The following is a 16,798-nucleotide window of genomic DNA, read 5'->3' as shown; positions in this document are numbered from 1 at the left end:
TTTCTAGATTTATTTCCTCATTTTGCTGAAACAAGTTACATGATAGCTTCCTGAGAAACATAAGTAGGTGGCATATATTTTGAGTCTTTGAATGTCTGTGAGTGTTTTATTTTGCTCTCCATCTTGACTGTTTGGCTGGGTACAGGTTGCAAGTTAATTTAAACCTGGAATTTGAAGACATTGCTCTAGTGACGTCTAATATCTAGTGTTGAGTCCAGTGCCATTCTGAGTACCATTTCTATGGATATGACTTTGATATGGATATGGATATGACATTAAAAATTAATCTTCCTCTGTTTCCATTTTCTCTGGATTCCTTTTCCTTTTGATTTCTTTTCAACTTTCTTCTTTTTGATGGAAGCTTTTTCCAAGTGTCTGAGTTGCTAGTTTGGTATTAAGGGTGAGGTTATAAAACCTGACCCAAAAGTCTGTACATGTGGATAGGCCTTGTCAGCTGGTGAGCTTCAGGCAGGAAGGTGGCTTGGTTGCCAGATTGCTCCCCAAGGCAACATTAGTGAGTCTTTTCTGGAGATGGTCAATTTCTCCTTCATAGATGCCTCCATTTTCCTTCATGAGGTAAGGGGAAGATGTGGGGAGATGGTGGTCTGTTCTGGGGGTGATTAATTTCTCCTCCATAGATGCCTTCATTCTCCTTCTTGGAGTAAGGGGAAGATGTGGGAAGATGGTGGTCTGTTCTGGGGGTGATTAATTTCTCCTTCATAGATGCCTTCATTCTCCTTCTTGGGGTAAGGGGAAGATGTGGGGAGATGGTGGTCTGTTCTGGGAGTGGGCAGAGGAAAGGGAGCTGAGGGCGCCCTTTCAGTATTCCTATAATCCTCCTGTACTCAGTTCCACATCCATCTCAGTTCTGTGTTGAGGACTGTGCCTTGAACCCATAGCCATTCTGCTTCAGCTCCTCCAGAGAAAATCTGTGGTCCCTTAGAGGAGATAGAGGAGTGGCGTGACACTCAGGATCTGGGAGGGACCTAGGCATTGGATTGCTCCTTATCTTGCTTTATCTGAGCCCCTTAGTTCCTCGCCCCTGCCTTTGTTAGGACCTGGTGCCTCTGAGTGTGAGTGCACTGAGGCTTCTGCATATGTGGGTGTGTCTCTCTTCTGTTGACACTTAGTTTGTAGCATTTTCCCCTTCTTAACTGAGTTATCACTCCTCCAATACCTTACTTTTCAAACATTTGTTGGAATTACTCATCTGCTGTTATTTTACTGTCTTTTAAGTAGAATTTCGGAGGAAGAGGAGATAAACATGTTTGGTTTGTCAATCTGCTATTTTGAATGAGAAATTATCTTTTTTGAGGACTTAGAATCAGGCCCACTGAGCTTGGAGCACTGCAGTCGAGCTTAGTTCTCAGGAAAAGGTAGTATTGGGTTTCTAGCTGCATGCAGGCCAAGTCTCCCACAGGCACCTCCACAGGTCAGCTTCCTTCTGTTTTGTTGATCTGGAATTCTCATAGTATTTTTGGTAAACTTCAAGTTCGTATGCTGAGCAACCTACCTTTTTTTAATTTTTTTATTTTTATTTATTTATTTATTATTATACTTTAAGTTTTAGGGTACATGTGTACAATGTGCAGGTTAGTTACATATGTATACATGTGCCATGCTGGTGCGCTGCACCCACTAACTCGTCATCTAGCATTAGTTATATCTCCCAATGCTATCCCTCCTCCCGCGCCACCCCACAACAGTCCCCAGAGTGTGATGTTCCCCTTCCTGTGTCCATGTGTTCTCATTGTTCAATTCCCACCTATGAGTGAGAATATGCAGTGTTTGGTTTTTTGTTCTTGTGATAGTTTGCTGAGAATGATGATTTCCAATTTCATCCATGTCCCTACAAAGGACATGAACTCATCATTTTTTATGGCTGCATAGTATTCCATGGCATATATGTGCCACATTTTCTTAATCCAGTCTATCATTGTTGGACATTTGGGTTGGTTCCAAGTCTTTGCTATTGTGAATAGTGCCGCAATAAACATACGTGTGCATGTGTCTTTATAGCAGCATGATTTATAGTCCTCTGGGTATATACCCAGTAATGCGATGGCTGGGTCAAATGGTATGTCTAGTTCTAGATCCCTGAGGAATCGCCACACTGACTTCCACAATGGTTGAACTAGTTTACAGTCCCACCAACAGTGTAAAAGTGTTCCTATTTCTCCACATCCTCTCCAGCACCTGTTGTTTCCTGACTTTTTAATGATTGCCATTCTAACTGGTGTGAAATGGTATCTCATTGTGGTTTTGATTTGCATTTCTCTGATGGCCAGTGATGGTGAGCATTTTTTCATGTGTTTTTTGGCTGCATAAATGTCTTCTTTTGAGAAGTGTCTGTTCATATCCTTTGCCCACTTTTTGATGGGGTTGTTTGTTTTTTTCTTGTAAATTTGTTTGAGTTCATTGTAGATTCTGGATATTAGCCCTTTGTCAGATGAGTAGGTTGCGAATATTTTCTCCCATTTTGTGGGTTGCCTGTTCACTGTGATGGTAGTTTCTTTTGCTGTGCAGAAGCTCTTTAGTTTAATTAGATCCCATTTGTCAATTTTGGCTTTTGTTGCCATTGCTTTTGGTGTTTTAGACATGAAGTCTTTGCCCATGCCTATGTCCTGAATGGTAATGCCTAGGTTTTCTTCTAGGGTTTTTATGGTTTTAGGTCTAATATTTAAGTCTTTAAGCCATCTTGAATTGATATTTGTATAAGGTGTAAGGAAGGGATCCAGTTTCAGCTTTCTACATATGGCTAGCCAGTTTTCCCAGCACCATTTATTAAATAGGGAATCCTTTCCCCATTGCTTTTTTTCTCAGGTTTGTCAAAGATCAGATAGTTGTAGATATACGGCGTTATTTCTGAGGGCTCTGTTCTGTTCCATTGGTCTATATCTGTGTTTTGGTACCAGTACCATGCTGTTTTGCTTACTATAGCCTTGTAGGATAGTTTGAAGTCAGGTAGTGTGATGCCTCCAGCTTTGTTCTTTTGGCTTAGGATTGACTTGGCGATGCGGGCTCTTTTTTGGTTCCATATGAGCTTTAAAGTAGTTTTTTCCAATTCTGTGAAGAAAGTCATTGGTAGCTTGATGGGGATGGCATTGAATCTATAAATTACCTTGGGCAGTATGGCCATTTTCACGATATTGATTCTTCCTACCCATGAGCATGGAATGTTCTTCCATTTGTTTGTATCCTCTTTTATTTCATTGAGCAGTGGTTTGTAGTTCTTCTTGAAGAGGTCCTTCACATCCCTTGTAAGTTGGATTCCTAGGTATTTTATTCTCTTTGAAGCAATTGTGAATGGGAGTTCACTCATGATTTGGCTCTCTGTTTGTCTGTTATTGGTGTATAAGAATGCTTGTGATTTTTGTACATTGATTTTGTATCCTGAGACTTTGCTGAAGTTGCTTATCAGCTTAAGGAGATTTTGGGCTGAGACGATGGGGTTTTCTAGATATACCATCATGTCGTCTGCAAACAGGGACAATTTGACTTCCTCTTTTCCTAATTGAATACCCTTTATTTCCTTCTCCTGCCTAATTGGCCTGGCCAGAATTTCCAACACTATGTTGAATAGGAGTGGTGAGAGAGGGCATCCCTGTCTTGTGCCAGTTTTCAAAGGGAATGCTTCCAGTTTTTGCCCATTCAGTATGATATTGGCTGTGGGTTTGTCATAGATAGCTCTTATTATTTTGAGATATGCCCCATCAATACCTAGTTTATTGAGAGTTTTTAGCATGAAGGGTTGTTGACTTTTGTCAAAGGCCTTTTCTGCATCTATTGAGATAATCATGTGGTTTTTGTCTTTGGCTCTGTTTATATGCTGGATTACATTTATTGATTTGCGTATATTGAACCAGCCTTGCATCCCAGGGATGAAGCCCACTTGATCATGGTGGATAAGCTTTTTGATGTGCTGCTGGATTCGGTTTGCCAGTATTTTATTGAGGATCTTTGCATCAATGTTCATCAAGGATATTGGTCTAAAATGCTCTGTTTTGGTTGTGTCTCTGCCTGGCTTTGGTATCAGGATGATGCTGGCCTCATAAAATGAGTTAGGGAGGATTCCCTCTTTTTCTATTGATTGGAATCATTTCAGAAGGAATGGTACCAGTTCCTCCTTGTACCTCTGGTAGAATTCGGCTGTGAATCCATCTGGTCCTGGACTCTTTTTGGCAACCTACCTTTTAAAATATTCCTCATAGTCAGTGGTTAAACTCTGTATGCTTTGTTGAGGGAGGCATTACATTGTTCTTTTTTTTTTTTTTGAATGAGTACACAGTATATGCAGGAAATGAGTTGTCAGAAATCAAATTAGCTAATGTGGTGGTGTGGTGTAGTGCCAGATACTTGGGAGGATCACTTGAGGTCAGGTGTTTGAGGCTGCAGTGGGCTATGACTGTGCCACTGCACTCCAGCCTAGGTAAGACCTGTCTCTAAAGAAAAAGAAAAAGAAATCATATTAAAAGTCAGGATTAGCTGAATGAAGCCCTCAGGAGAACTCCCTCCTTCAATGATACCTTCTTTTTTCCAAATTCTCTTTTTCTACTGACTTTTCCCTATCATCAGATATGCTCAAGTTTCTCCCATCCTAAAAAATATGCAACTTACCCTTCACTCCATGTTCCTCTTTAGTGATAACCCCTTCTCTGCATTTCATGGTCAAGTTTCTTGAAAGGTTGTTTTGCACTTTCCTATCCCTTCTTCCACATTTCTCACTGATTACTCACCTCTTGCAATCTGCCCACCAGGTGGCTGACACCCCTCTCATCCTGGTCACCTCTAATCCCTTTCTTGCTAAATTAAATAATGCCTATCAGTCCTGTATTTGGTACTTCAGCCATCTTCTCTCAAATATTCTTTCTTCCATGACAGCATACTCCTGGATTTCCTTCTATTTCTTGATCATTTTTTTTTTTCTAGTGTACCCTGGAGATCTTTTCTTTTTCTCCTGTTCTATAAAAAACTGTAAATCTGTTGTTCAACATTGGTCCTCCTCTCTCTGAATAATTTCACACCTTTCCTGCCTTTGATTACTATCTATGTAGCAACTATAAATAATTATGGGGAGACTTTTATAATAGTGCATTTACTGAGTGTTTTTCCTCCTAAACTGGGGAATGAGGGAAAGACCAAGCAAGCCTTTCTGTAGGTCATGATAAAAATCTCTATGCAAGTTCTCTCTCTGAGGTTCAGACCCATAGTGCCAGCTGCCTTTTGGATACGTCACCTGGATATCCTACAATCACCTCTAAACCAACATGTCTAAGTGGATGCTTCATCCAACTTCTCACAGGCCTTAGAGGAAGGGCATGACCACTCACCCCTTCCTTGGTGCCCCATCCCCACCTGGTGGTCATCATGAACATCTCCCTCTCTTTTAGCCTCTATCATTAACTCATTAACCTCCAGCCACACTCCTAGAACATGTAGAGTTTTCAGTCTCTGTGTCTGTCAACCACCCCAGACCTCTGCTTTGCCATGTGGCCCATTAGGAATCTGTGCTCTCAGACCATCCTATGCATCTCTCCATCTCAGCACTCATTACTCTTTTATTTTTGTCTCTTGGCCTAGTTGCCTCCTCCTCTTTCACCACCTCACTATGAATTACCTTGAGGGTGGTGTCCACACTTCTTTCCAGATGCTTAACTTCTCTTTGACTTGGTTCTCTCATCTGTAGAATAGGAACGATACTAATGCCTACTTGATTGAGTGGCTGTGAGGATGGATGAATCCATGTAGAATACTTGGTCCAGTTTCTGCCACCTAGTAAGTGCTCATTTAATCTAAGCTGTGATTATTAACACTACTAACAATATTGTGTTTTCTAAATATATAGTTGGCTTTCTATCACATAGAGAACTTTCTTTTCACAATTTGCTGAATAAATGAAGAGAAAAAGTAGTAGGATTTTTTCTTCCTACTGCAAAAGAAAGAGGTATGGCTGTTTATTCTGATTCAGATTTTCTTTAGTGAAAAAAAGAAAAAAGAGGGTAAAAGAAAGCATAATAACTCCATAAAGAGGAAAGCGTTTTTTTTTTTTTGTTGTTGTTGTTTTTAATCAGTTCTGATTTCCTTTCTGGTATCTCTGCTGGTGTTTTCAAAACTTGGCAACTTTGTGGCTGTGGAAGACTGTTGATGAGAGGGTTGGGCGATGATACCTCAGGGTTACCCTCAGGTCGTACCTGGTGGTGTCAGCTTATCAGAGCCGTCTCCGGGTGGTAGTAGGTGAACTCAGGTATCTCTTCTTCAGATATTCTACAGTGAGAAATTTTTTTCTGGAAGGTTGGACATGGGAGTAAATCCAGGCCATACCATTCCTGGTTCTGTTTGTCAGTATCATATCTACTCTTTGAGATCCAAAGTTTGAGGAATGGATAGATTCTAGGTTTGTCTCATGTTATTGCTCAGCAGCTTACAGAGTTTTTTTTTTTTTTTTTTTTTAAAGAATTCCACATGTGTTCCTGAAATATGCTCTAACTCTGACACAAAATTTCAGTGTGCATTAGTAGGAAAATTGATGCCTTACAAAATATACTTAGCTTAAAATATGTCCATATTTTAACTTATAGGAAGAGAAATTCTCGCAGCTAACAGGGTGGAAAATGTTGAAAGTTTGGCTTTTGATTGGATTTCAAAGAATCTCTATTGGACAGACTCTCATTACAAGAGTATCAGTGTCATGAGGCTAGCTGATAAAACGAGACGCACAGTAGTTCAGTATTTAAATAACCCACGGTCGGTGGTAGTTCATCCTTTTGCCGGGTAAGTGTGTTCATGTTTTCCTAAGAGCTTGAAACTGTATGTCTTTTACAGTCATTGAAAAGTGATGCCCTAGGGATTTAGGTAAGTTCAGCAAATATAAGATTGAACTGTATAAGTTGAAATCACCTTAAATTTTATTTCTTTTTTCCTCCAAAAAACTTTATTCTGGGGGAGTAAAAAAAATTGTTTTTAAACCCAAAACATTTCTTCTAACTTTTGGCTTTCTCAGTCTTCACTGAAGAGTAGTTTTTTTCACAGTTGCAGAGGACCAAACAATGTGATATAGATTCAGTAGAAAAGGAGTGAATAGGCAACAGAATTAACAGGAAAGACCCAAATTCTTTCCCTGCTTTAATATATTTATATAAAGCTTAGCAAAACTTGCTTAATCATTCAGTAGTTTTCAGAATAAAAAGTTTTTCAGACCACAAAGTTTCATGTTTTACCATTCTATAATTGGTGGTGCCAGACAAGGAAAGACAGAAGAGTTCACAGTATTCCTTTTTGGTTCCTACTTTTCTTATTTAAATATGTTTAACAGCTACTGTGTTTATTTAGAACAAATCTGAGCTATGTGTTGTATATGAGTGGAATGATAAAAAAGATGGCTGCTAACCCACCAATGCCTGATTACCCAGGGAACATCCATACCTGTTCTTCCGTTAGATATATAATCTCATCAGCTTCCAAAGCTAGTTTGTGAAGGAGGTATGTGTAAATACCCATTTTAGAGAGAATGAATCTAAGGCGCAGTGAGATAAAGTGACTTGTGAAAGGGCCCGCAGCTATTAGGCAACAGTCAGTATTCAAATTCCAGACCTGTCTGACTGGAATGCCTGTGTGCCTAAAAAAGTCTGTTTGCTGCATCTAGAGTATCTGCTTTAATTTCCTCTCTGTAAGATAATAAAAGAAACACATTTTAAAACTGATGTTATTATTGATAAGAAATTTCATTGCCCTATAGAGAGTTAAACAGTTTAGTTTTTTAATGAATTTGTCTTAACTCAAACTTTTGGCCTTTGGTTTTGAAAAACTGTTGAATTCCTTTCCTGATGACTCTTTTGTTTAAAATGATATGAAGTAGTTACATTTCAGAAAGTTACATTTTGGAAAAGAATAATTTTGATTCCTCTGGATCCCATAAAAGAGAAAAAGTTGTTTTTTTATTTTCTTTTGTTTTTTTTGTGTTTTTTTTTTTTGTTTTTGTTTTTTTTTGCCTCTAGACTTATCTTTTTCCCACTCTTTAGAATATTAAAAAAATGCTTGGGTCAGATACTGTTTGCATTGCATTGATTTGGATGCTTTCTTCATCTGAGATGAATGGTTTCCTGCAAATTTATCAATTCCTTATGGAAGAATGACTAGAGGATCCTGAATGTTTAATCTAGAGAGAAAGAGATTGAAATGTTTTCTTGCTCTGTTCGTTGTTTATTATTTTATTTTAATAACGTGGAATATTTAATAGGTAACCTGAATTGTGTCTTGTTAGAGAATATGTTAGGCGACAATAGTTTTAGTTCCTAAACTCTGAGACAGTGGTTCTCTTCTCTCAATGCCCATTTAAATGCCATTTGTATTTGTGACTTTGGTTACATGTTAACTAAATTTTAACTGAGAATTACATGAGTTATACACTAAGTATGTTAAGTTCAATAGCATATAAAGAAAACAAAATTAATTGCAGTATCTGGAGAATCTCTGTTTGTTCTAAATCTCTGGAAGTCATGTAGTTTGTCCCAGTGTTAACAGCCTTAATTTACTACTGCTTTTTCTAGGTATCTATTCTTCACTGATTGGTTCCGTCCTGCTAAAATTATGAGAGCATGGAGTGACGGATCTCACCTCTTGCCTGTAATAAACACTACTCTTGGATGGCCCAATGGCTTGGCCATCGATTGGGCGTAAGTAGGAATCATCATCCCCGATACTTAGTTCTCTTTTACTGCAGAACACATAATGAGGCAGGTTGGGTGATATGATGGTGTAAGGAAACTGGTACTGCTTGCCCTCGCGGAATTTTAAATAATTAATTGGTGATGGGAGAAGGATATTGAACAAGAACACAAAGGACATAAACATAGTTGGCCAGCTACTGCTGGGGTGAAAACTAATAAATTCATGAGTATTCTGAGAAAATTGCTAGAGAAAGCTGAATGACAAGATTTAGTGGAAACTCAAGATGGGGGAGGTGGGTCCCAAGCAGCATTTAAAGTAGGGTACAGATTTGTTGAACTGTAGGCAGTGTGTAATTTCTTACAGGGAACATCTTGAGTTTAGGAAATCTTTGGAGTCAATTAATCAACAAATGCACCTTTGCTTACATGCACTTTGGGAGGACTTTAAAAGTATAAGCTATGGTTCTCAAGAAATTGATGATCTATCTAGGAATATAGGAAAAGGAATAGAGTAAATAAGCTTATAAAGATGAAATGCCAAGGTAACTTATGGGAGAAAAAAAGGGAAGAAATATATTTCACCTTTTAAACATAGATTACTACCACTGTTTTTCTTAACTTGTTGATTTCACAAGGAGAAAATAAAATTTCTGGCTCAAAGATAGCAACATTTTAAGTTTTCTAAGACAATTGATTGAAAGCCACTTCATGAAAAGTAGCCGTCTCTTTCTGGGGGACATAAAACTGTTAAATTTTTAATGAATATAATTTAAATTTTAAAAACTTTGTTTAATAAATGTGTCAACTGACCCTACTGTTTTTGGATGCCCTTTGTGTAAAGGGTGCTCTGATAGTTTTTGGATAAGAGATAACTAAATATTTTATTATTTTAGTGCTTCACGATTGTACTGGGTAGATGCCTATTTTGATAAAATTGAGCACAGCACCTTTGATGGTTTAGACAGAAGAAGACTGGGCCATATAGAGCAGATGACACATCCGTTTGGACTTGCCATCTTTGGAGGTATGTTTTAAAGCAATAAAAGTATGTATTGTTTTTATACATTGCAAGTTACAATAGTAAACTCATCCTCATGTGGCATTTTCACAATCCCAGAAAAGCTGGCCACTTTAAAATGAAAAAATTTAAAATGGTGCTATATATTTAGACAAAACATTTGGTTTGTTGATGGTGTATTTCATTTTTAGAGTGTGATTTTTGTTTTGTATATATTCGTATAATGTTGACAGTGTATATGGGTACAGCACTTTGTAGATTACATGTATTATACAATTCAACATCCCAAGTACTTAGTTATACAAGTATCACGTGAGGAAACAGTAAATTACTGCCTTCATTTTCAAGAATAAAACAGCAAGAGCTGTTTATAGTAATCATTGTAGCATTTCATTATTCTCCAGTGTTTGTAAGAATCTCATTAGAAATCCTTGTGGAAAAAACGATTACACATATTCATCAACTATATGCTGACTGAATGACTTTGAAACTTTTTTATTCAAAATGTTGGAGAACTGACATCGTCTTTGTTTTATGGAAGTGTTAGGTTATGCTTTATGAAGAACAGCAAGACATAATTTTTTTTCGTCAACCTTTCCAAATAATTTCATGCTACTAGTGAAGATTGCTGAGAAGCATGAATTCTGGGGAACTACAGTCACAATGAGCACAGCCAGTGCTTGCCTGTCTTCTCAGCTCCCCATTTGAGTGCAGGCATGCTGCTGTGAGTTGAGTTTCTGGGAATAAGAATGTAGCCTGGTACCATGAAACAGGTGGTTTGCTTAGTCTTGAAAACAGGAGCTCTGTGAATGGTTGTATAGCTTGTGCACTGCATAAAAATGCCAGGCCAAGAGGGTGAGGAGACACTGAAATCTATCCTGGGTCTGTTTGACAAACCATGATTACTCCAGTTAGAGGGGTCATGTTTTGTTTAAGTCTACCAAAAGCCCTGTGTATATGCTAGTTGTGTCCCTGGTTGAAACCTCCTACTTTGAATAATTAACACAGTGCTTGAAAAGACTAGACACTCACTATAAATCAAAGACTTTCTCACATGCATAGAATGTATGTGTGGAATGAATAGTTAGTAAGTATATTGCATATCTTGTCCTGCTGTCTGTTTATCTGTGGAGGAGTGTGTGGTATTTAAAAAATGCTCATGAGATTTTTGATGAGTTAATTATAAATACTCCTCCCGTCCCCCTCCCGCCGCTGCCATCCATTTACTCCCTTTTCACTAATGATGTCAGACACATGCTATTTGCTGTCACATAGAAACATTATAAAAAGTTGAATTTTCTCTGCTCTGGGCTGGGATGTTTTGGGATTCGAGAAAATGTAGTTTTAGTATCTTTTGGTTTCATCAGTATGAAAAAAATTTGAATGCATACCCATGAGGACAACACAACATTCCCAAAATAGCAATAATTATTTATTTCTTTCAACATTGCTGTTTTTTTTTTTTTTTATTATACTCTAAGTTTTAGGGTACATGTGCACATTGTGCAGGTTAGTTACATATGTATACATGTGCCATGCTGGTGCGCTGCACCCACTAATGTGTCATCTAGCATTAGGTATATCTCCCAATGCTATCCCTCCCCCCTCCCCCGACCCCACCACAGTCCCCAGAGTGTGATATTCCCCTTCCTGTGTCCATGTGATCTCATTGTTCAATTCCCACCTATGAGTGAGAATATGCAGTGTTTGGTTTTTTGTTCTTGCGATAGTTTACTGAGAATGATGGTTTCCAATTTCATCCATGTCTCTACAAAGGATATGAACTCATCATTTTTTATGGCTGCATAGTATTCCATGGTGTATATGTGCCACGTTTTCTTAATCCAGTCTATCATTGTTGGACATTTGGGTTGGTTCCAAGTCTTTGCTATTGTGAATAGTGCCACAATAAACATACGTGTGCATGTGTCTTTATAGCAGCATGATTTATACTCATTTGGGTATATACCCAGTAATGGGATGGCTGGGTCAAATGGTATTTCTAGTTCTAGATCCCTGAGGAATCGCCACACTGACTTCCACAATGGTTGAACTAGTTTACAGTCCCACCAACAGTGTAAAAGTGTTCCTATTTCTCCACATCCTCTCCAGCACCTGTTGTTTCCTGACTTTTTAATGATTGCCATTCTAACTGGTGTGAGATGATATCTCATAGTGGTTTTGATTTGCATTTCTCTGATGGCCAGTGATGATGAGCATTTCTTCATGTGTTTTTTGGCTGCATAAATGTCTTCTTTTGAGAAGTGTCTGTTCATGTCCTTCACCCACTTTTTGATGGGGTTGTTTGTTTTTTTCTTGTAAATTTGTTTGAGTTCATTGTAGATTCTGGATATTAGCCCTTTGTCAGATGAGTAGGTTGCGAAAATTTTCTCCCATGTTGTAGGTTGCCTGTTCACTCTGATGGTAGTTTCTTTTGCTGTGCAGAAGCTCTTTAGTTTAATTAGATCCCATTTGTCAATTTTGTCTTTTGTTGCCATTGCTTTTGGTGTTTTGGACATGAAGTCCTTGCCCACGCCTATGTCCTGAATGGTAATGCCTAGGTTTTCTTCTAGGGTTTTTATGGTTTTAGGTTTAACGTTTAAATCTTTAATCCATCTTGAATTGATTTTTGTATAAGGTGTAAGGAAGGGATCCAGTTTCAGCTTTCTACATATGGCTAGCCAGTTTTCCCAGCACCATTTATTAAATAGGGAATCCTTTCCCCATTGCTTGTTTTTCTCAGGTTTGTCAAAGATCAGATAGTTGTAGATATGCGGCATTATTTCTGAGGGCTCTGTTCTGTTCCATTGATCTATATCTCTGTTTTGGTACCAGTACCATGCTGTTTTGGTTACTGTAGCCTTGTAGTATAGTTTGAAGTCAGGTAGTGTGATGCCTCCAGCTTTGTTCTTTTGGCTTAGGATTGACTTGGCAATGCGGGCTCTTTTTTGGTTCCATATGAACTTTAAAGTAGTTTTTTCCAATTCTGTGAAGAAAGTCATTGGTAGCTTGATGGGGATGGCATTGAATCTGTAAATTACCTTGGGCAGTATGGCCATTTTCACGATATTGATTCTTCCTACCCATGAGCATGGAATGTTCTTCCATTTGTTTGTCTCCTCTTTTATTTCCTTGAGCAGTGGTTTGTAGTTCTCCTTGAAGAGGTCCTTCACATCCCTTGTAAGTTGGATTCCTAGGTATTTTATTCTCTTTGAAGCAATTGTGAATGGGAGTTCACCCATGATTTGGCTCTCTGTTTGTCTGTTGTTGGTGTATAAGAATGCTTGTGATTTTTGTACATTGATTTTGTATCCTGAGACTTTGCTGAAGTTGCTTATCAGCTTAAGGAGATTTTGGGCTGAGACGATGGGGTTTTCTAGATAAACAATCATGTCGTCTGCAAACAGGGACAATTTGACTTCCTCTTTTCCTAATTGAATACCCTTTATTTCCTTCTCCTGCCTGATTGCCCTGGCCAGAACTTCCAACACTATGTTGAATAGGAGCGGTGAGAGAGGGCATCCCTGTCTTGTGCCGGTTTTCAAAGGGAATGCTTCCAGTTTTTGCCCATTCAGTATGATATTGGCTGTGGGTTTGTCATAGATAGCTCTTATTATTTTGAAATACGTCCCATCAATACCTAATTTATTGAGAGTTTTTAGCATGAAGGGTTGTTGAATTTTGTCAAAGGCTTTTTCTGCATCTATTGAGATAATCATGTGGTTTTTGTCTTTGGCTCTGTTTATATGCTGGATTACATTTATTGATTTGCGTATATTGAACCAGCCTTGCATCCCAGGGATGAAGCCCACTTGATCATGGTGGATAAGCTTTTTGATTTGCTGCTGGATTCGGTTTGCCAGTATTTTATTGAGGATTTTTGCATCAATGTTCATCAAGGATATTGGTCTAAAATTCTCTTTTTTGGTTGTGTCTCTGCCCGGCTTTGGTATCAGAATGATGCTGGCCTCATAAAATGAGTTAGGGAGGATTCCCTCTTTTTCTATTGATTGGAATAGTTTCAGAAGGAATGGTACCAGTTCCTCCATGTACCTCTGGTAGAATTCGGCTGTGAATCCATCTGGTCCTGGACTCTTTTTGGTTGGTAAACTATTGATTATTGCCACAATTTCAGAGCCTGTTATTGGTCTATTCAGAGATTCAACTTCTTCCTGGTTTAGTCTTGGGAGAGTGTATGTGTCGAGGAATGTATCCATTTCTTCTAGATTTTCTAGTTTATTTGCGAAGAGGTGTTTGTAGTATTCTCTGATGGTAGTTTGTATTTCTGTGGGATCGGTGGTGATATCCCCTTTATCATTTTTTATTGTGTCTATTTGATTCTTCTCTCTTCTTTCTTTATTAGTCTTGCTAGCGGTCTATCAATTTTGTTGATCCTTTCAAAAAACCAGCTCCTGGATTCATTGATTTTTTGAAGGGTTTTTTGTGCCTCTATTTCCTTCAGTTCTGCTCTGATTTTAGTTATTTCTTGCCTTCTGCTAGCTTTTGAATGTGTTTGCTCTTGCTTTTCTAGTTCTTTTAATTGTGATGTTAGGGTGTCAATTTTGGATCTTTCCTGCTTTCTCTTGTAGGCATTTAGTGCTATAAATTTCCCTCTACACACTGCTTTGAATGCGTCCCAGAGATTCTGGTATGTGGTGTCTTTGTTCTCGTTGGTTTCAAAGAACATCTTTATTTCTGCCTTCATTTCGTTATGTACCCAGTAGTCATTCAGGAGCAGGTTGTTCAGTTTCCATGTAGTTGAGCGGCTTTGAGTGAGATTCTTAATCCTGAGTTCTAGTTTGATTGCACTGTGGTCTGAGAGATAGTTTGTTATAATTTCTGTTCTTTTACATTTGCTGAGGAGAGCTTTACTTCCAACTATGTGGTCAATTTTGGAACAGGTGTGGTGTGGTGCTGAAAAAAATGTATATTCTGTTGATTTGGGGTGGAGAGTTCTGTAGATGTCTATTAGGTCTGCTTGGTGCAGAGCTGAGTTCAATTCCTGGGTATCCTTGTTGACTTTCTGTCTCGTTGATCTGTCTAATGTTGACAGTGGGGTGTTAAAGTCTCCCATTATTAATGTGTGGGAGTCTAAGACTCTTTGTAGGTCACTGAGGACTTGCTTTATGAATCTGGGTGCTCCTGTATTGGGTGCATAAATATTTAGGATAGTTAGCTCCTCTTGTTGAATTGATCCCTTTACCATTATGTAATGGCCTTCTTTGTCTCTTTTGATCTTTGTTGGTTTAAAGTCTGTTTTATCAGAGACTAGGATTGCAACCCCTGCCTTTTTTTGTTTTCCATTGGCTTGGTAGATCTTCCTCCATCCTTTTATTTTGAGCCTATGTGTGTCTCTGCACGTGAGATGGGTTTCCTGAATACAGCACACTGATGGGTCTTGACTCTTTATCCAACTTGCCAGTCTGTGTCTTTTAATTGCAGAATTTAGTCCATTTATATTTAAAGTTAATATTGTTATGTGTGAATTTGATCCTGTCATTATGATGTTAGCTGGTGATTTTGCTCATTAGTTGATGCAGTTTCTTCCTAGTCTCGATGGTCTTTACATTTTGGCATGATTTTGCAGCGGCTGGTACCGGTTGTTCCTTTCCATGTTTAGTGCTTCCTTCAGGAGCTCTTTTAGGGCAGGCCTGGTGGTGACAAAATCTCTCAACATTTGCTTGTCTATAAAGTATTTTATTTCTCCTTCACTTATGAAGCTTAGTTTGGCTGGATATGAAATTCTGGGTTGAAAATTCTTTTCTTTAAGAATGTTGAATATTGGCCCCCACTCTCTTCTGGCTTGTAGGGTTTCTGCCAAGAGATCCGCTGTTAGTCTGATGGGCTTTCCTTTGAGGGTAACCCGACCTTTCTCTCTGGCTGCCCTTAACATTTTTTCCTTCATTTCAACTTTGGTGAATCTGACAATTATGTGTCTTGGAGTTGCTCTTCTCGAGGAGTATCTTTGTGGCGTTCTCTGTATTTCCTGAATCTGAACGTTGGCCTGCCTTGCTAGATTGGGGAAGTTCTCCTGGATAATATCCTGCAGAGTGTTTTCCAACTTGGTTCCATTCTCCACATCACTTTCAGGTACACCAATCAGACGTAGATTTGGTCTTTTCACATAGTCCCATATTTCTTGGAGGCTTTGCTCATTTCTTTTTATTCTTTTTTCTCTAAACTTCCCTTCTCGCTTCATTTCATTCATTTCATCTTCCATTGCTGATACCCTTACTTCCAGTTGATCACATCGGCTCCTGAGGCTTCTGCATTCTTCACGTAGTTCTCGAGCCTTGGTTTTCAGCTCCATCAGCTCCTTTAAGCACTTCTCTGTATTGGTTATTCTAGTTATACATTCTTCTAAATTTTTTTCAAAGTTTTCAACTTCTTTGCCTTTGGTTTGAATGTCCTCCCGTAGCTCAGAGTAATTTGATCGTCTGAAGCCTTCTTCTCTCAGCTCGTCAAAATCATTCTCCATCCAGCTTTGTTCTGTTCCTGGTGAGGAACTGCGTTCCTTTGGAGGAGGAGAGGCGCTCTGCGTTTTAGAGTTTCCAGTTTTTCTGTTCTGTTTTTTCCCCATCTTTGTGGTTTTATCTACTTTTGGTCTTTGATGATGGTGATGTACAGATGGGTTTTCGGTGTAGATGTCCTTTCTGGTTGTTAGTTTTCCTTCTAACAGACAGGACCCTCAGCTGCAGGTCTGTTGGAATACCCTGCCGTGTGAGGTGTCAGTGTGCCCCTGCTGGGGGGTGCCTCCCAGTTAGGCTGCTCGGGGGTCAGGAGTCAGGGACCCACTTGAGGAGGCAGTCTGTCTGCCCGTTCTCAGATCTCCAGCTGCGTGCTGGGAGAACCACTGCTCTCTTCAAAGCTGTCAGACAGGGACACTTAAGTCTGCAGAGGTTACTGCTGTCTTTTTGTTTGTCTGTGCCCTGCCCCCAGAGGTGGAGCCTACAGAGGCAGGCAGGCCTCCTTGAGCTGTGGTGGGCTCCACCCAGTTCGAGCTTCCCGGCTGCTTTGTTTACCTAAGCAAGCCTGGGCAATGGCGGGCGCCCCTCCCCCAGCCTCGTTGCCGCCTTGCAGTTTGATCTCAGACTGCTGTGCTAGCAATCAGCGA

At 39.2% G+C, this 16,798-nt stretch overlaps 1 protein-coding gene across 4 annotated transcripts in view; it reads left to right on the top strand.

Moving 5' to 3' along the window:
- Positions 1-16,798, top strand: part of LRP2 (LDL receptor related protein 2) — a 235,426-nt gene that overhangs the window by 96,739 nt on the left and 121,889 nt on the right. For all 4 annotated transcript variants that reach the window (XM_011511183.4, NM_004525.3, XM_047444340.1 and 1 more), the window contains 3 exons: positions 6,579-6,771; positions 8,547-8,672; positions 9,560-9,690. In XM_011511183.4, the coding sequence (XP_011509485.1) occupies positions 6,579-6,771; positions 8,547-8,672; positions 9,560-9,690 (450 nt within the window). The remainder of the gene's footprint in view (positions 1-6,578; positions 6,772-8,546; positions 8,673-9,559; positions 9,691-16,798) is intronic.

The sequence above is a fragment of the Homo sapiens genome, chromosome 2 (genome assembly GCF_000001405.40).
Source record: "Homo sapiens chromosome 2, GRCh38.p14 Primary Assembly".
In the NCBI taxonomy this organism is placed as follows: Eukaryota; Metazoa; Chordata; class Mammalia; order Primates; family Hominidae; genus Homo; species Homo sapiens.
This window is presented reverse-complemented; position numbering and strand designations above follow the sequence as displayed.